The sequence below is a fragment of the Homo sapiens genome, chromosome 20 (assembly GCF_000001405.40).
Source record: "Homo sapiens chromosome 20, GRCh38.p14 Primary Assembly".
Lineage (NCBI taxonomy): Eukaryota > Metazoa > Chordata > Mammalia > Primates > Hominidae > Homo > Homo sapiens.
The window spans coordinates 50,661,659-50,681,027 of record NC_000020.11 but is presented as its reverse complement, the minus strand read 5'-3'; the positions used below and the strand labels follow the sequence as shown (position 1 = coordinate 50,681,027).

The following is a 19,369-nucleotide window of genomic DNA, read 5'->3' as shown; positions in this document are numbered from 1 at the left end:
GTCTCAAACTCCTGAGCTGAAATAGATTCACCCGCCTTAGCCCCCCAAAGTCCTGGGATTAAGGTGTGAGCCACTGTGCCAGCTATTGTTTCTTGTTAGGTCATATGCCCCTTCTTGAAATTTCCCCGGAATATGTTCTTTGGCTTACGCCTGTCAGAGCTCATCTCTGGAGTTGAGGGGGTATCAATGCCACTCACACTTGTACCTGCAAATCAGGGTGCCCTCCCACCCCCCGACCCAACAAAAGCCAAAGGCTGTTCGTAGGAGCAGGAGATAGGTGCTGGGCATCAGGAAAGCAAGTGTCCACTCTGGTCTGGCTGGGCTGGTTTGGGCCACTGACCTTCATGACCATTGTATTGCGTAAGAGGCTGCTCTGGTTGAGCTGTAACCAGCACAGGCAGCCTTTGGCCAGGTCGGCGTGAGATTACCAGCCTCGCACAGGCGGCTGCACACGACACGTCTGCAATACCTATTCTGAAGGGTAATTCTCTGGGATAAAGCATGTTTATGTTTTTTAGGGAGGTGGGGAAGAAAATTCCATTTCTGTTGCCAATTAGTTCTGCTTGAGAACAGCTTTTCTCAACACCAACATATTGGCTGCCCAGACTTGAGTTCTGTTGATTAACTCAAAGTGGGGAAAAAAGTGATTTTTCTTTCCTTCCTCCACCCCCAACCGTGAAACCCGGCTGTTAGTGATGAAAGGGGTCCTGTGGATCATTTAGTTTTCCTTGTCATGACTCCAGGAAAGGCTATAAAAATAATCAGTGGGCCCCGCTGGCCGTAATTGACTGTAGAGAGAAGTTGGCTACCACAGCGCCTGAGTTATGAGAATCTGTTTCAGATGCAGGCTTCAGTTGAGCCTCGTCTAATGACACCTGCTCCCCAAGGCCAGCGGAGGGTGGGGGTGCTGACGCTTGTCTGCATGCTTCTCTTCCTTCCCGGGTTCCAGGGAGCTCCTGGCAGAGGGACCCAGGACAAAACAGAGATGCTGGGAGGAGAGGACCAAGCATGGATCTGGCCCTGCTGCTTGCACCAAATTCCAGGTCTACTGTTTGTTTGTCTGTTTGTTTTGAGACAGGATCTTACTCTGGTTGCCAGGCTGGAGCGCAGTGGTGTGATCTTGGCTCACTGCAGCCTCAACCTCCTGAGCTCGGGTGATCCTCCCACTTCAGCCTCCTGGGTAGCTGGGACTACAGGTGTATGCCGCCATGCCTGGCTAATTTTTGCAGTTTTTTAGTAGAGACGGTTTTTTTTTTTTTGAGACAGAGTCTCACTCTATTGCCCAGGCCCGAGTGCAGTGGCGCGATCTCGGCTCACTGCAACCTCTGCCTCCCAGGTTCAAGTGATTCTCCTGCCTCAGCCTCCCGAGTAGCTAGGACTACAGGTGAGCGCCACCACGCCCGGCTAATTTTTTTTTTTTTTTTTTGTATTTTTAGTAGAGACAGGGTTTCACCATGTTTGCCAGAATGGTCTCGATCTCCTGACCTTGTGATCTGCCCACCTCAGCCTCCCAAAGTGCTGGGATTACAGGCGTGAGCCACTGCACCAGTGGAGATGGGATCTTGCCATGTTGCCCAGGCTGGTCTCGAACTCCTGAACTCAAGCGATCCTCCCACCTCAGCCTCCCAAATTGCTGGGATTACAGGTGTGAGCCACCGTGCCCGGCCCAGTCCACTGTTTGTTGGCCATGAACCTGGGGCAAGAAACTTCACTTCTTGGTGCCTCTTTTTTAAATTTTATTCTTTTTTTTAACCATAAACTCAACCAAGTGGCACCCTCATTTTATATATTTTTAAATATTATATATATATTTTTTGAGGTATATATATTTTAAAATATTATATGTGTATCTCTCTCTCTCTGTGTGTGTGTGTGTGTATATATATATATATTTTTTTTTTTTTTTTTTTTTTTTTTTTTTTTGAGACAGGATCTTGCTTTGTCACCCAGGCTGGAGTGTAGTGGTGCAATCCTGGCTCACTGCAGCCTCGAATTCCTGGGCTCAAGCAATCCTCCCACCTTGGCTTCCTGAATAGCTAGTACTACAGGTGTGGATCACCAGGCTTGGCTAATTTTTTGAATTTTTTGTAGAGATGAAGTCTCACTTTGTTGCCCAGGCTGGTCTTGAACTCCTGAACTCAAGTGATCCTCCCACCTGGGCCTCCCAAAGTGCTGGGATTACAGGCATTTTAAACAGATAATAATGGTTCCTCCTCCTGGGGTGATGTAAGGATTGAATGAGTTAATAACATGCAAAGCACTTGCAAGGAGCCTCCACCATGTGCAAAGTCCTGTGTCAACGCCAGCTTTTGTTATTTATTCAAGACTCCCCCACTCTTCCTCCCTTGACACTTGAGTCGTATGTGGTTGTGCCAAAATATCTTAGTCCAGTCCCCTGATGATGGACGTGAGATCAGTTCCGATCTTTTGTGATCACGAATAGCACTGCATTGAATAACCTGTAGCTTGTGAGCCAACCCCTCCACCCACCCCTTAAGGTATGTGAACCCCATGATAACCTTGGCCTTGGACTTTCCTTCCCGGAGCCTGCAGAACGAGGAGAGATATGTGGGCATGTGGCCAACTCTGGCCTGGCATGCAAACAGGCCTGTGGGGTGGGGTGGGAGGTGGGGGTAGGCCCTCCCTGAGCCAGGTGGGACAGATTCCTGCTGTGTCCATCTGGTGAGTGAGGAGCCACAGGGTGAGTTTCAGAGGGTTGGGCCAAGGCCACCCAGCCCCCAGGTTCCTGGTGAATGCCCTTATGTGGACTGGAGAGAGGAAACCTGTACTGTGCCTTGTGGGCTCTGCCCATTTTTTGTGATCTTCCTCTAGGAAGCCCGCTGGGATCTCTGCTCCAACACACTTTGCTATATCAGCCACCGGTTTAGCACCCATGGTGGCTGGTTCTCTTCTTGGGGGGCAAAACCCATGATGATTGAGAAAATGAGATGGGGAGTCAGGAGGCTGATTTTGGTCCTGACTTCCCAGCACCTCCACCCTTGTAACTCCTGTGGCTCCGTGTCCTCATCTGAAAGCAGACTAAGAAGACGAATAATAAGGCCAGGCGCGGTGGCTCATGCCTATAATCCCAGCACTTTGGGAGGTCGGGACAGGTGCATCAGTTGAGGTTAGGAGTTCAAGACAAGCCTGGCCAACATGGTGAAACCCCGTCTCTACTAAAAATACAAAAATTAGCTGGGCGTGGTGGCACGTGCCTGTAATTCCAGGTACTTGAGAGGCTGAGGCAGGAGAATCACTTGAACCAGGGAGGCAGAGGTTGCAGTGAGCTGAGATCGCCCCACTGCACTCCAGCCTGGGTGACAGAGTGAGATCTTGTCTCAAAAAAAAAAAAAAAAGGCCAGGCGCGGTGGCTCACGCCTGTAATCCCAGCACTTTGGGAGGCCGAGGCAGGTGGATCACCTGAGGTCAGGCGTTTGAGACCAGCCTAACCAACATGGTGAAAACCCATTTTTACTAAAAATACAAAAATTAGCCAGGTGTGGTGGTGTGTGTCTGTCATCCCAGCTACTCAGGAGGCTGAGGCAGAAGAATCGCTCGAACCCGGGAGGTGGAGGTTGCATTGAGCCGAGATTGCGCCACTGCACCCAGGCCTGGGCAACAAGAGCAGAACTCGGTCTAAAAAAAAAAAAAAAAAAAAAAGTAAAACAAGAAAATAATAATAATAATGGTAACAAATTCACAGGAAGGTCTTGTGAAGTCTCAGAGACGTAATGCAAATGGGTTTGGACCCTGTGTCTGGCACAAGAAATATAAGCTGGTGTGAGAAAATGACCTATCTATGGGAATGTCTGGGCCACAGGCACTTGCAGCCACCTATGAAGGGAGTTAGTCCGAATTCCCAGGGCCTTGGCAAATCATCCACCCTCAGAACTGAGTTTTCTCTAGCAAATGAGGGTGCTAATGATATGTATCCCAAGGGTTTGATGTGAGAATTAAATGAGACCAGGCACATATTGCTTTGCATTTACACTGTGGTATTGTTGATATTATTAGTTATCTGTGTTGATAGTTGTGAGCATCCTTCCAGACATTGGCACAATGCGGTGCACGCAGCTGGTGCTTGGTGACTGCAAATGGATTGACGGACAGGGCCCAGTATCTGGGCTGGGTGTGGGTGGCTCACACCTGTAATCCTAGCACTTTGGGAGAATGAGGCAGGAGGATTGCTTGAGCCCAGGAGTTTGAAACCAGCCTGGGTATAAGCAAGACCTCTACTAAAAAAAAAAAAAAAAAAAAAGTAGAATCTGGAGGATGCACTGATAGAGAAACCCATTTCTGATGTTGTGGAGCCCTTAGGGAGAATAAAGGGGAAAAGCCTGATGTGACCTCACCTGTGGGTTTTTTTATTTTGTTTTGAGACTGAGTATTGCTCTGTGGCCCCAGCTGGAGTACAGTGGCATGATCACGGCTCACTGCAGCCTTGACCTCCTGGGCTCAAGTGATCCTCCTACCTCAGCCTCCAGAGTAGCTGGGACCACAGGCATGCACCACCATGTCTGGCTAATTTTTGTATTTTTAGTAGAGACGGGGTCTCTCTATGTTGCCCAGGATGGTCTTGAACTCTTGGGCTCCAGCGAACCTCCTGCCTTAGCATCCCAAAATTCTGGGATTACAGGCATGAGCCCCCACACCCAGCCCTCACCTGTGGTTTTATAGTCAGCTACAGCTTAATTCTGGGAGATGATGGGCCTCATCCCACACACCATGGCAAGTACGTGACACAGCAGGAGGCAGACCAACTTCCCCTGACTCTCAGGGCAGCAACCTTCACCCTGACCTTCAGCCCCATGCAGGAAGCAGCCCGTCGGGGTGAGACACAGTATCCATCTGTGGCCAGAGCCCTTGCACATTTTTGACATTTTTGTGTCTTGGGACAAAAGGCGAAGGAACTCAGATGAACTGGTTCTTGTTTCCTGGTGGAAAAACACTCCTGCCCTTATGGAATCTTCGCTGTTGTGTGGTTTTGCCTGTATTTGTGTCTCTCCCTCACTACCCTACAGTTCAGCAGTAGCTATTCTAGAAAACCCACATAAGGTAGACCCAGGAATGATTTCTGGGATTGTCTGAGGATATTTAAGGGGCCAGAGGGCTCCCTGCACCATCGATGCTGGCCCTGGATCTCCTGCCCCGTCTGCCGTTCGACTTGCCCTGAATGCGTGAACAAATGAATGAGCAGACATTTGCTGGACAGCTGCTGCCCTCCAGGCACTGGTGTGCTGGTGTTCCACAGCCCGGGGGCCGAGAGCCACTCAAAGCATTCATATTGGGAAGTTGGCAGGGATGGTCTGGTCAACAGCATGGGCGTTGGCATTGGAGTCAGATGAACCTGGCTTTGTCAGACCCTAAATAGGGTGGCCTTGGACAGACCTGCCTGAACCTGTTTCCTCAACTGCAAAATGTGAATAAAGATAGCACAGTGTGGTCGGTGAGGACTGAGCAAGGAAGTGGCTCTAGCACTTGGCATACACAGTTGGTCCTTAAAAGTGGGCTTTAGACCAGATAGACCAAATTCAAATCTAGATCCAGCTATGAGTCCCTTAACTTCTCTGAGTCTTGATCACTCTCTCTGTAACATGGTATAGTAACCTCTTACAGTTGTTGTGAGGATTTAGGTGAATTCACACATATGATGCATTTATAATGCAGAGAACCTAGTGCATGGTAACCACCTGTATTAGCTTCCTAGGACTGCTGTAATGAAGCACCTCCAACTAGGTGGCTTCAAACAACAGAAACTCGTTCTTTCACAGTTCTGGATGCTAGAAGTTTGAAATCAGGGTGTCAGCAGGGCCACTTTCCCTCTGAAGACTCTAAGGAAGAATCCTTTCTTGCCTCTTAGCTTCTGCTGGTGGTCAGGGATCCTTGTTGTTCCTCAGCTTGCGGCTGCACCATCTTTGCACCACCACTTCCTGTGTGTCCCATCTTGTTTTAGACAGGATCTCACTCTGTTGCTCAAGCTGGAGTGCAGTGGCCTGATCATAGCTCACTGCAGCCTCAAACTCCTGGGCTCAAGCAATCCTCCCACCATGGCTGGCTAATTTTTAAATTTTTTAAGTTTAATTTTATTTATTATTTATTTATTTTTTAATAGAGATGGGGTCTTGCTATGTTGCCCAGGCCGGTCTTGAACTCCTGGCCTCAAGTGATCCTCCTGTCTCAGCCTCCCAAAGTTCTAGGATTACAGATGTAAGCCACTGCACCTGGCTTTTAGTTTCTTTTTTAGAGACTGGATGGGTTTCAGTATGTTGTCCAGGCTGGTCTTGAACTTCTGGGCTCAAGCCATCCTCCTGTCTCAGCCTCCTAAAGCCCTGGGATTACAAGTGTGAACCACTGTGCCCAGCCCCTATCCTCTTCTAATAAGGACACCAGTCATTAGACTTAGGGCCTACCCTAATCTAGTATGACCTCATCTTAACTAATTACATTTGCAAAGACCCTATTTCCACAAATGGTCACATTCTGTGTCTCTGGGTGGACATGAATTTTGGGGGAACACTGTTCAACTCACAACACCACCTAATCAATAGTAGCTATTACTAATACTCCTCTTACTACGGAATTTGCTCAGTGCATACTATGTCCTGGGCACTTCTCCAAACTCCTTTTATTCCTCTTCCCATTTAATCCTCTCCATGACTGTGAAATAGGTCCCAGGATTATCTCTGTTGAGGGCCAGAGAGGTGAGCTGATTTGCCCAAGGTCACATTTGTTAGCAAATGATAAATCTGGGGTTGGGACTCTTTTCTCTCTGACTCCAAAGCTGGCAAGGTTTTGAGACCCTCCAATCCCATCCCAAGAGCTTGGAGTCGGCTGTACTTTCTGTCCTGGAATCCCAGGCATCAGACATATGCTCTTTCCTGGCCCACACCTCCTTCCAGACACATCTTACCCAGAGAGGCTATAAAAAGCGGGGGAAAAGGAATCTTGTCTTTATAATGGCCAACATGGAGTTCTGCTCCTGCCTTGGAACGCTCGTGTCCGGCTCTCCCGTGGATTGAAAGCAGCATGACTCCTGTGCATGGCAGAGCTTGCCAGGGGTGTATATTTCATGCCTGACATCTGGTAACATTTTGGGAGTCTTGACTTGGGGCTACAAATGGAAAAATGGTTCATGAAGGTGTGATTTATTCATCATCAAGATAATGCTATTAAATAAATGCTCGCAACGATTCGCTCCATTGGGTCAGAGAGCCCTGACTTCCCAGGCCGGGCCTGGCGAAGGCCCTGGCAGGACAAGGCTGTTTCTTTGACGCTGAGGAGAGCATGGAGGCGTGGTGAGGCCGGACTGGGGCCTGATAGGGGCAAACGGTCACGCTGCCAGATGATGAATGGCCGTTTACATTTTAACACGCCTGTGTCTTGGACGTGGAGTAATTGGCTTTGGCTGATCGGGGGTGGGTGCAGTTAGGAGCCTCTGACAGCCATGAGCTGGAGAAGGAAGGAGGGTCATTTCCAGAGACTGGGGCTTTGGGGCCAGGAAATAGTTGCTTTGTCAGCAGGGAGAGCCAGTGGGTGGGTTGGAGGCCCCTGAGAGAGATCAGAGGATCCTGAAGGACAAAGCCAGGCTGGCCACCTTTGCAGGGGGTAGCTGGCAAGGGTGTAGGAACCGGCCACGTGGCAGAGAGCAATGCCCCAAAGCCAGGCTGCCTGGGTTCAAATCCTACCTCCCTCACTGACCAGCTGGGCCTGGGACCGCCCCTCCCTAACGTAGGGACCATTACAGGGCCTACCTCAGAGGGGTCTGTGGGTATTGCATGGGCGCGTGGCACCTAGGGGTCTTCACTAAGTGTTAACTGCAGTTGTCATGGTGGTGATGGTATCTAGAGAAGAGTGGAGGCTGGGACGCAGACAGAAGCAGCCCTGCTGTCTTCTGGCTGTAGATCAAGGACAAGACTTACCTTGCCCTCTGCACAGCAGGTAGGAGCCTTCTCCTGGACCTGCCTCAGGGCAGTGGGGACATCCACCGGTCCAGCTCTCAGCACATTCAATGCTGGGGTTGGTTGCCACCCAGCTTGGGCAGCCCACATACTCAGCATCACTGGGTTTACCCCCAAATCTCCATGCGCTACAGGTGAGTTGCCATGGGTTGGCAAGCAGTCCCCGCACCTGTGGACATCAAGGATCTGTCTTCACATCCCCTTCTGCTCACATGGCTCCAGCCCAGGAGGAGATGGGAGGACAGGTGTGCGCCTCTATGGGCAGCCAAACCTGGGGTGGTGGGTGGGGAAGGTGTCAAGTCTGATGCATGTCTGTTAGGGTTCTGGGCACTGTGACGTGCATGCAGGTGGAAAGTCCATTCTCCTGACTTGGAGCTGGTATCTGTTACACCATGAGAGCTGGGGCCTGACCCTTCCCCTGTGTCCCTGTTGCCCCCAGGACTGGCCACTGACGGAGCCATGGTCAGGCTGTGGGACTCAGGCCAGCTGGCCGCGGCCTTCCCACAAGAGTCAGTTACTGGGGCTATCAGATGCTGTGGCTGTTGGTTGGTTTGTCTCTGTGGTGTCAAGCTGGGCCAGCTTTTGGGCAAGAGCAGCCTCATGGGGAACATAATCAATGAGAAAAGGATGGCAGAATCTAGCCTGGGGGTTGCTGGGTGGAGGGCAGAGGGTGCTGGGCTGCCTGGCCATGCCTCCTCTTCAGTACTGAGCTCAGCAGGGGGCCCCAACCCCTTTTACTGTAGGACTCTGCTGGCTTCTGACCAGAGGTAGCTCTAAGCACTGGTCCTTTGCAGCCCCAGGAGGAACGGGCTGCGGGTGAAGTGAGGACGGAGGTAGAGCTTCACCTTGGTGAGGGGCTTTCCTAGGGGGACAGCCAGGTGCTTAGCCTTGTGACAGCTGCTCAGTGAGGGTTATTCACAGCCCCATCGGGACTTACTGATTGGGCTTCACTTCCTGATTCTGTGATATTCACACGGCTCCAGCCAGTGGTTCCATCTATCCACCCATCCATCCTTCCATCCATCCAATCACCCACCCACCCACCTACCCATCCATCCATCCATCCATCCATCCATCCATCCATCCACGCACCCATCCACCTATCCACCTAACCATCTACTCATCCACCTATCCATCCATCCATCCATCCATCCATCTTTTCTTCCTTCCACCCATCCATCTATCCATCCACCAATTTACCCATCCCCACCCACTCACTCATCCACCCATCTACCCACTCATCCATCCATCCATCCATCTATCCATCCATCCATCCATCCATCCCTTCGCCCACCCATTCATCTATTCACCCACCCAACCATCCTTCCATCCATCTACCCATCTACCCATCCACCCATCCATTCATTTTCGTGGTCCTCACAATTAGCCTGTATGGTGGGGATGTGCTATTATGCCCATTTTCAGATGAGGGTACACACATACAGGTTAAGAACTGGTCTGAGGGCAGAGCTAATGAGTGGCTGTATTAGTTATCTATTGCTATTAGTTATCTATCTATTAGTGGCTGGAGGCTGATTTCAATTCTTTTCTATGTGGGTATCTCCAGCATGGCAGCTTGCTGTGTCAAAGCAAGAAAGCCAAGAAGTTATGTGTGTGTGTGTGTGTGTGTGTGTGTGTGTGCGCGCGCGCGTGCACGCGCGCGTGCTCATGTGAGAGAGAGGGAGAGAGAAAGGTGGAAGTCACTGTCTTTTATAACGTAATCTTGGAGGTGACATCCTGTCCCTTTTGCCATATTCTGCTCATTAGAAGTGCCTACCCATGGCTGGGCATGGTGGCTCATGCCTGTAATCCCAGAACTGTGGGAGGCTGAGGTGGGTGGATCACTTGAGGTCAGGAGTTTGAGATCAGCCTGGCCAACATGGTGAAACCCTAAACAACTAAAATACAACTAAAAATAACCCTAAACAACTAAAATACAACTAAAACAAATCCTAAACAACTAAAAATACAAAAATTAGCCAGGCATGGTGGTGCATGCCTTTGGTTCCAGCTACTTGGGAGGCTGAGGCAGGAGAATCACTTGAAGCCGGGAGGTGGAGGTTGCAGTGAGCGGAGATCACACCACTGCACTCCAGCCTGGGTGTCAGGGCAAGACTCTGTCTCAAAATAAATCAAATAAATAAATAAATAGCAGAAGTGTCCACCCACACTCAGGCCAGGAGGTGGGATCACTGGAGGCCATGCTAGAAGCTGCCTTGGCCAAGCCAAGGTTTGAACCCAGTCGGATCTGACTTAAAACCTGTCCTTCCAGAGGAAGCCAACTACATACAGAGCCTTGTTCTTCCCCAGTCCCAGAGACCAGCCACCTGTCTGCTGCCACGCAGGGTTGGAATTTAATCATACATTGACTCACTTCATGGGTGTTTACTGAGCGCCTACTAACACAATGCTCCACAGGACGGTGTGGTGCCTGCCTAGGGGAATGCACCGCTGGTGACGGATATCCATGCTGTACATTTACTCACCTGCCATGTGGGTCTGCAGAGAACATGTCTTTTCTTTATTTCCTGCAATGGATCTGATATTTCTCACAAAGCCTACTCATAGGGCAACAAGGAAAAAGAACTAGATTTAATTTAATCTGATCCAGTACTTTAGGCCTTTAGGTAATGCTTGGTCTCAAATTTCCTTCTGCTCCTCCCAGCTTTTCTCTAAGCTGGCACTGGGTGGGTGGGTGGGGGTGGGGGTGTCTGGGTGTTGATGACGAGACTTCCCAGGAGGAGAGGGATTTCTAGCCAAGTCCGATGCCCAAGATTGCTGCTTGGCTTTCTGGCATTTTGGCCGAAACCGGCAGTAGGTAAAACTCATGCTCTGGGCCTCCGCCTGCCTGGTTGACTTGGCTCTACCTTGGCTCAGAGCGCCCTCTTCTTTTTTTTTTTTTTTTTTTTTTGAGATGGAGTTTCTGCTCTTGTTGCCCAGGCTGGAGTGCAATGGTGCGATCTCAGCTCACTGCAACCTCCGCCTCCCGGGTTCAAGTGATTCTCTTGCTTCGGCCTCCTGAGTAGCTGGGATTACAGGCGCCTGCCACCACGCCCGGCTAATTTTTGTATTTTTAGTAGAGATGGGGTTTCGCCAGGTTGGCCAGGCTGGTCTTGAACTCCTGACCTCAGGTGATCCACCCGCCTTGGCCTCCCAAAGTACTGGGATTACAGGCATGAGCCACTGCGCCCAGCCTTTTTTTTTTTTTCAGAGCCCCCTCTTCTCTACTGCATCTGACCCCTACCTGAGCCATCTACTCCCAGACCCTTCTGCAGGTCCCTCTGCCCCTTGTCTTAATGAGGTGTCACCTACCTGAGCAAGAACACATTGAGCCCATCCTGGCCCGGAGGGGACCAGTGTGGCCAAGGAAAGCGAAACACCAGGGCTTCCTTCCTCTCAACTTGCTGCACCTCCAGGGGCCCCACCCCTAAGCTGCTGGAGGGTGGTCTCAGAGCACTTTCCTCCCAAGCCCCCAGAGGGTCAGTGCGCAGCGGTGACTTCTAAACCTACTGTCTCATAGCAAAGTCTGTGTTGATGATCAGGAACTAGATCTGCCATGGTCCTCTTTATTCCTTCTGTACAAATTCAAATATTTTCCAGGTAGCCAGGTGCCTCAGGCCTGAGAGGGGAAGGGCTACTTACCCAGAAAGGCCAAAGAGGAAAGCCCAGTAATATTTTTCGAGCTATTAATATTACCTGGTACCAAAATGATCACACATGTAATTAGTCACAATCGTGGTAAAAGTGCTGAAGAGAAAGCCTATGAGTAATGAGGGTGTCAGGAGAGTGGCCTGACCTAGCCTAGGGGTCAGGAGAGGTGGTCCTGAACCAGGGTTGGGTAAGGGGATCCAGAATGAATAGCGGGGTGGCTGGGTGAAGAGGGGAGTGTGTATGTGCATGTGTGAGCATGCATGTGTGGGTGTGTGAGTGTGCACCATGTGTGCACATGTGTGAGCATGCATGTATGGGTGTGTGCGCGCCATGTGTACATATGTGTATAATGTATATGTGAGTGTGCATGTGCATGCGTGTGTGTGCATGTGTGTGACTGTCCTGTGTGTGCATGTGAGCAGGTGCTGTGTGTGCATATGTGAACACATACATGCATGGGCATGTGTGCATGTGAATGCATGTCATGTGCATGCATGAGCCATGTGTGGTGTGTGCATGTGTGTGTGCAGCCTCATCATTTCCTGAATTTTTTTTTTTTTTTGAGATGGAGTCTCGCTCTGTTGCCCAGGCTGGAGGGCAGTGGCTTGATCTTGGCTCACTGCAACCTCTGCCATCCAGGTTCAAGTGATTCTCGCGCCTCAGCCTCCCAAGTAGCTGGGATTACAGGCACCCGCCACCACGCCCAGCTAATTTTTGTATTTTTAGGGGAGATGGAGTTTTGCCATGTTGGCCAGTCTGGCCTTGAACTCCTGACCTCAAGTGATCCGCCCGCCTTGACCTCCCAAAGTGCTGGGATTACAGGTGTGAGCCACTGTGCCCGGCCATTTCCCCTAATTTGAGGCACTCCATTCTCTGAGTCTGGATTGTTGTGTGGGTGTGTGTGGGAAAGGAACCGCACTGAGGAGGGAGAATCAGATTCTCTGAGGAGGAGGCGCAAAGGTTGGGGCCTCTGCAGGAAGCAGCTTTGCCTGTTCATGGGACTGAGAGGGGACTCAGCTTCTGGAGTCTGAGTGGTTGGCACCACCAGGGGACCACAGTGGTGGGAGCATCAGGGGCAGGAGGAGGAAGGTCACTGTGTCCCCCATTAGGAATGTCCTCCTCTCTTTCCTGCTGGTCTCAGAGCTGAGGACCAGGATACAGATGGCCAGGTGCCTCTGTCAACAGACTCAGGTGACTGGGCAGAGTCAGTTTCCCCACCTGTGCACAGCGAAAAAGAGATCTGTCTCTGCCGGGATGATGAGTGGACAGTTCTCCCGGGACTGGCAGAGCAAGCCTCAGACTGAGGGCAGCCAGGGAACAGCAGGTCATACTCCCATGGCAGAATGATGCTAAGGTTCCCAGGGTGTCCCAAACACCCTTCCCACCCCCTGCCCCAGTCTCATGAGAGGGCCATGGACGCTGACACTGTAACTATCCTCTGCTAGTCAGGCAGATGCTAGTCACAGCAGCATGGAATCTCAGAAACAGCCCTCACAGTGGGCAGTATTAGTATCCCCTTTCCACAGAAAGAGAAATGGAAGCTCAGAGAGGCTACGGAACTTACCCGTAATCACAAAGCAAGCACGTGTCCCAGGTCTATGTGATCTCAAAGCCTTTGCTACTCTGACTCCCACGGCTGCTGTGTGAATTTTCAGTTTCCTGAAGGGGAGAAGAAAACAATTTGCTCTAGGAAAAGCTTCAAGGGCCAGACTTCAGAAATGCCCAGAGCTGTGAGTTCAGTATCATGGCCCCTGCCCTCCCCTCTCTATGCAGGGGCCGTACAGTGAGCTGAGCCGCGGTGAGGACGTGTTAAGAACTTAAAGCAGCGGCCGGGCGCGGTGGCTCACGCCTGTAATCCCAGCACTTTGGGAGGCCGAGGCAGGCGGATCACGAGGTCAGGAATTTGAGACCAGCCTGACCAACATGGTGAAACCCCGTCTCTACTGAAAATACAAAAATTAGCTGGGCGTTGTGGCGGGTGCCTGTAATCACAGCTACTTGGGAGGTTGAGGCAGGAGAATCACTTGAACCCAGGAGGTGGAGGTTGCAGTGAGCCAAGATCGTGCCATTGCACTCCAGCCTGGGTAACAGAGCGAGACTCCCTCTCAAAAAAAAAAAAAAAAAAAAAAAAAGTAGTTTAAAGAACTTAAAGCAGAAACCCGATTTTGAAATGTTCAAGGACAAGGCCAGGGAGGCTCGTTTGGGGATGGGGTGGAGGTTTCAGTCCATTTAAGTGGGCTGGAGGGGAATTTTAACTTTGCCGGCTGATGGTTAATGTTCCCTTCCCAAGGTATTCATGATTTATGCTGATGCTTTAAAAAGAAAATTTAGCCAAGCTAGGTTCAGAGTCCAGGAAGCTAAGGACAAGGCATTCAGGAAAGCTTTGTTTGTAGGGGAGGTTAGGAGGGATAGAAGCATATTCCAGATACCTCGCCCGCTTTTTTACTCCACTCACCCAAAGGAGAGGTCACCTTATCACATAAGACCGTAAGATAGCTCCCCAGGAGGGATCATGCAGATAAGATGTTTCTTCCTATGTTTGAAGAAATAGGTGTCCTAGGCTGGTCGCGGTGACTCACGCCTGTAATCCCAGCACTTTGGGAGACTAAGGCAGTGGATCACTTGAGGCCAGGAGTTAGAGACCAGCCTGGCCAACATGGTGAAACCCCATTGCTACAAAAAATACAAAAATTAGCTGGGCATGGTGGCACACGCCTGTAGTCCCAGCTACTTGGGAGGCTGAGGAGGGAGAATCGCTTGAACCCAGCAGAGGTTGCAGTGAGCTGAGATGGCACCACCGCACTCCAGCCTAGGCAACAGAGTGAGACGCCGTCTCAAAAAAACAACAAACAACAACAAAAAACAAACAAAACAAACAAAGAAATGGGTGTCCTAGGCTGGGCGTGGTGACTCACGCCTGTAATCCCAGCACTTTCAGAGGTCGGGGCAGGTGGATCACCTGAGGTCAGGAATTCGAGACCAGCCTGAGCAACAGGCGAAACCCCATCTCTACTAAAAATACAAAATTTAGCTGGGTGTAGTGGCAGGCACCTGTAGTCCCAGCTACTTGGGAGGCTGAAGCAGGAGAATTGCTTGAACCCGGGAGACGGAGATTGCGGTGAGCCGAGATTGCGCCACTGCACTCCAGCAACAGAGCGTGACTCTGGGCAACAGAGCGTGACTCCGTCTCAAAAAAGAAAAGAAAAGAAAAGAAAAGAAAAGAAAAGAAAAGAAATGGGTGTCCTTTCTCTGTATTCTAGGCCTCTTGTCTTGGCTGAATTGAAGAAAAATGTATATAAGGCCCTAGATGTTCACTGTCATGTTAATAAACCCTTCCTTGGTCTTCATTCTGGGGCCTGAATGGAAAAACGAAAGGCCCAGAGTCTGGGCCTTGGGACTCAGCATTACAAGGGATGGGACCCTGATTTATACTGGCTTAAGCAAAGAAGGGAATTTACTGGCTCATAAAATTTAGATGTCTGGGATTCGGTTTGGCTTTAGGTATAGCTGGATACAGTGAGGTGCGTGGCGACGGGGGGCCTTAGGGCTGATTTTCCTTCACCTAGCTTGGAGCAGATTCCTTGGTTGAACCAGTCATGGTGGCCAAAAGAACGTGGAGGTGTGACTGTCTGTGTTCTACTCCATGTAACTACGTGCACTGAAAAGTGGTGTGGGATCATTCGCCATAAGAAACCCACCCGGCAGGCACAGTGGCTCATGCCTGTAGTCCCAGCACTTTGGGAGGCCAAGGCGGGTGGATCACAAGGTCAGGAGTTCGAGACCAGCCTGGCCAACATGAGGAAACCCCATCTCTACTAAAGATACAAAAAATTAGCCCAGTGTCGTGGTGCGTGCCTGTAATCCCAGCTACTCAGGAGGCTGAGGCAGGAGAATTGCTTGAACCCGGGAGGCGGAGGTTGCGGAGAGCCGAGATCACACCACTGCCCTCCAGCCTGGGCGACAGGGCGAGACTCCATCTCAAAAAAAAAAAAAAAAAGGAAGAGGGGGCTCTGAGCCAAGGTAGAGCCAAGTTAGCCAGACAGGCCTAGGCTCCAGCAATCTTCTTGCCTCAGCCTCCTGAGTAGCTGGGACCACAGTCACACATCACCACGTCCAGCATTTTTTTTTTTTTTTTGGTATTTTTAGTAGAGTCAGGGTTTTGCCATGTTGCTCAAGCTGGTCTTGAACTCTAGGGCTCAAGTGATCCTCCTGCCTCAGCCTCCCAAAAGGCTGGGATTACAGGCGTGAGCCACCGCACCCGGCCAGCACCATGGGGTTTTTTTGTTTGTTTTGTTTTGTTTTTTGGGTTTTATTTTTGAGACAGGGTCTCGCTCTGTCACCCAGGCTGGAATGCAGTGGCATGATCTTGGCTCACTGCAATCTCTGCCTCCTGGGTTCAAGTGATTCTCCTGTTTCAGCCTCCCAGGTAGCTGGGATTACAGGCATGCGCCACCATGCCTGGCTAATTTTTGTATTTTTAGTAGAGACAAGTTTTTGCCATGTTGGCCAGGCTGGTCTCAAACTCCTAACCTCAGGTGATCCTCCTGCCCCGGCCTCCCAAAGTGTTGGGATTACAGGTGTGAGCCACCGTGCCCAGCCGGGTTTCTTTTTTCTTCCCCCACCGATTTCCCACTTCATGGCAGACACAGCACCCTTTCCTAGTGAGCCCATACACAGCCTCAGAATCTATCTCAACACTATACCCAAAGCAACCAATATCTCCCACCTTGGCGTTGGAACCTGAGCTGAAACTCTTTGCAATTCCTGCTCCAAGCAGATGGAGATAAAAATGCGCAGCTCTGAGCGTTGAGTGATTTGCCCAATGTCACACGGGAACTCAGGCAGAGAACCCTCCTGACTCAGCCAGCCCCCTTTCCCGTGGGATCCTGCCTGATGTGAGCCTTGAAAGAAGGTCTGTCCCTCAGTGGAGATTTCCACTCCAGGCAGCGGCTGCACACACACATGGAAAAGAAATAGACTCGAGGTCAGAGCAAAGCCAACAGTGCGACTGCTGACCCAGCTCTCAGGAGTGGCGCACAGCATGGAGAGCAGACAGGCGGGAGGGCTCACAGCCTAGCAGCCACGCTGTTTGTCCACCACAGAGATCTCACTGGGCTTCACGGTGTCCTACCTTAAATATTAGGTTGGTGCAAAAGTAATTGCAGTTTTTGTCCTTGAAAGTAATATATTGGGGCCAGGTGCGGTGGCTCACGCCTATAGTGCCAGCACTTTGGGAGGTCGAGGCAGGTGGATCACCTGAAGCCAGGAGTTCGAGACCAGCCTGACCAACATGGTGAAACCCCGTCTCTACTAAAAATACAGAAATTAGCCAGGTGTAGTGGCGAGAGCCTGTAATCCCAGCAAGTCGGGAGGCTGAGGCAGGAGAATCGCTTGAAGCCGGGAGGCGGAGTTTGCAGTGAGCCGAGACCACGCCATTGCACTCCAGCCTGGGGAATAAGAATGAAACTCCATCTCAAAAAAAAAAAAAAAAAAGAGAGAGAGAGAGAAAGTAATATATTAGGTATTCAAGTATTAGATACAATTAAATCTAATAATGTGCTCGAGTTGACAGCCATTCTCAAATTGTGAGAGAGGTGAGGTGTTTTCCTTCTGGGGATGGGGATCAGGGTTGTCTTGGATGGGGGGACAAATGGCTGGCACCAATCTAGGGAAGCCAGAAAGTAGAGAGTAAATACTGATGTGGCCATTATTCTGCCAGCTCAGTCTTGCCCAATGAAGGGGAGAAAATAGGTGGCAGAGAACCAGCCGCTTGTTTGCCATAGAAAGGTACCGAAAGGCTGTCCTGACCTCTAGGGGCCTCTTGTGATATGAACTTCATCATTTTAGGGAGCTGACCTTGGGCTCATGTGCTCACAACGCCAAGACCTTCACATATGTTATCCTAATTAGTATTCACAGAATAGTCCTGTGAAGCAGGTAGAGTTATTCCCTATGATCAGACGCTGCACTGGGGCGCTTGGAGAGGTGGAGTCGCACTGCCTGACCCTGGCTAGTAGCCACTGTGCCATACTCCACGGGCTGGCAGACACTGTGAAGCCGAACAGAACAGGGTATGTGAGCCACCTGACAATCATTAAGCACGTTGTAGCCAGCAGTAGGTCTGGGTAAGGTGCTGATGGGAGGCAGCATGTGGCAGTCCCAGCCTCAGGTCACTTGCTGAAGGACAGAGGTGCACTGGAGAAAATGTGGCCTTGGAGGCAGAATCACGTCAGTGAATACCTGTGTGACTCACTCAGTTGAGCTCAGGGCCTACAAACAGGTGCAGTCAGCAGTTTGAAAACTTTTTTTTTTTTTTTTTTTTTTGAGACAGTCTCTCTCTGTCACCCGGGCTGGAGTACAGTGGTGAGATCTTGGCCCACTGCAACCTCCACCTCCCCGGTTCAAGTGATTCTCCTGGCTTCAGTCTCCCGAGTAACTGGGACTACAGGCATGCGCTATGACAATCTGGCTAATTTTTATATTTTTAGTAGAGATGAGGTTTCACCATGTTGGCCAGGCTGGTCTCGAACTCCTGACCTCAAGTGACCCACCCGCCTCGGCCTCCCCAAGTGTTGGGATTACAGGCGTGAGCCACTGTGTCCGTCCTGAAAACTTCTTGTCTAGCACAAACTCCCATTGTACAGGTGAGAAAGCTGAGGCTTGGAAAGAATTGACTTCCCCCGTGTCACCAGCCAGAGAGTGGTGGGGCCAGGACTGGGATCCTCCCTGGGGTCCTGGTCCAGTGGACACCCCTGTGGGTCCACGAGAGAAGGTATGAACTGTGATGGAAGGGCAGTGGTGGGCCACCCGAGAGGAGGGTCCTGGGTGGGCAGAGGCATCCAGGCACACCAGATGGAGAAATAGCTTAGGGCGCTGTGTCTCACTCTCTGCAACAACTCCCCATGGGAGGGATGACAGCAGTCACGGCTGCACCTATGAAGTCCACCACCTGGGCTCCAAGCTAGCCCTGCCACTCTCCAGCCAGTGGCTCTGGGTGAGTCATGTCACCTGCCTGAACCTCCCTGGACCTCAGCACCTTCCTCTGAGCGTGGCCGTAAGCCTCAAGTGACATTATCCCACAGCCCATTGCCTGGCCCTTAGTGCCCAATTTCACCAATGTGGCCAATTATGACTGCTTATTTATTTCCATTTGGAAATTGGCTTTTAATTCCTTTTGGCTTTTCCCTTCTTCTCTGAGGGCTCCTCCTTCAGAGGGTCCTGCCCTGGATAAAGACAAAAGCAGATGCTCCCAGGTAGTCTGGGTCACACCCACGCCTCCCGTGGGTCTGGAAGTGGCTGGAGGAGGAGTGAGTCTGCGGCTGATCCTTTTCCTCATCAGGAGTCAGCTCCTTGGAGCCTCCCAGGGATGTCTGGAGGGGCTGCTGATTGCAGAACCAGCTGGAAGGGAAATTCGAGGGCAGATGTGGCGACAACGGAGGCTGCAGCAGTCAGAGCTTCCCCGCACTGTAGTGGCACAGGTGCCACGCCTGGAGCCCATCAGCCCCATGTTCAAATCCCAGTGCCGCCACTGCCTGCCTGTCGAGTGAATGTGATTCCTCCCACGGTTGGCTGAACTGGCTATGGACAGCAGCTGTCCTGCGCGGGACCCCAGGGGAAATGGAAAACATATCTCTGCCCCAGGCCAGCTTCCCCTTCTCTCCCAGGCCCCGACCTGCCCTTTAGACTCAGGAGTCCTGGCTTCACCCTTTGTCCGGACCTTCAAGAGACAACACAACTCTGATAACAGCAGTTCCGAGGCT

At 51.0% G+C, this 19,369-nt stretch overlaps 1 protein-coding gene and 1 long non-coding RNA gene across 16 annotated transcripts in view, besides 2 other annotated features; one reads left to right on the top strand and one right to left on the bottom strand.

Annotated features, from left to right (window-relative positions):
• Positions 1-19,369, top strand: part of RIPOR3 (RIPOR family member 3) — a 105,435-nt gene that overhangs the window by 10,515 nt on the left and 75,551 nt on the right. The gene's annotated exons all lie outside the window — the stretch shown is intronic.
• Positions 6,608-13,815, bottom strand: LOC105372659 (uncharacterized). 5 transcript variants are annotated; one of them, XR_007067644.1, is made up of 5 exons: positions 13,769-13,815; positions 13,174-13,268; positions 10,445-10,516; positions 7,920-8,127; positions 6,608-7,111 (listed from the first exon to the last, which is right to left on the bottom strand). It is a non-coding gene; the product is annotated as an uncharacterized LOC105372659 (long non-coding RNA). The 5 variants fall into 5 exon arrangements; XR_007067643.1 differs by lacking the exon at positions 13,769-13,815 and adding an exon at positions 13,392-13,508; XR_002958581.2 differs by lacking the exon at positions 13,769-13,815 and having other exon boundaries at positions 13,174-13,508.
• Positions 14,134-14,634: an enhancer, noted in NCBI's record as "H3K4me1 hESC enhancer chr20:49282931-49283431 (GRCh37/hg19 assembly coordinates)". NCBI's record gives its function as "activates a minimal SCP1, AML or CMV promoter by ChIP-STARR-seq in primed H9 embryonic stem cells {active_cell/tissue: H9 hESC(primed)}" and the evidence as "EXISTENCE:reporter gene assay evidence [ECO:0000049][PMID:30033119]".
• Positions 14,635-15,135: an enhancer, noted in NCBI's record as "H3K4me1 hESC enhancer chr20:49282430-49282930 (GRCh37/hg19 assembly coordinates)". NCBI's record gives its function as "activates a minimal SCP1, AML or CMV promoter by ChIP-STARR-seq in primed H9 embryonic stem cells {active_cell/tissue: H9 hESC(primed)}" and the evidence as "EXISTENCE:reporter gene assay evidence [ECO:0000049][PMID:30033119]".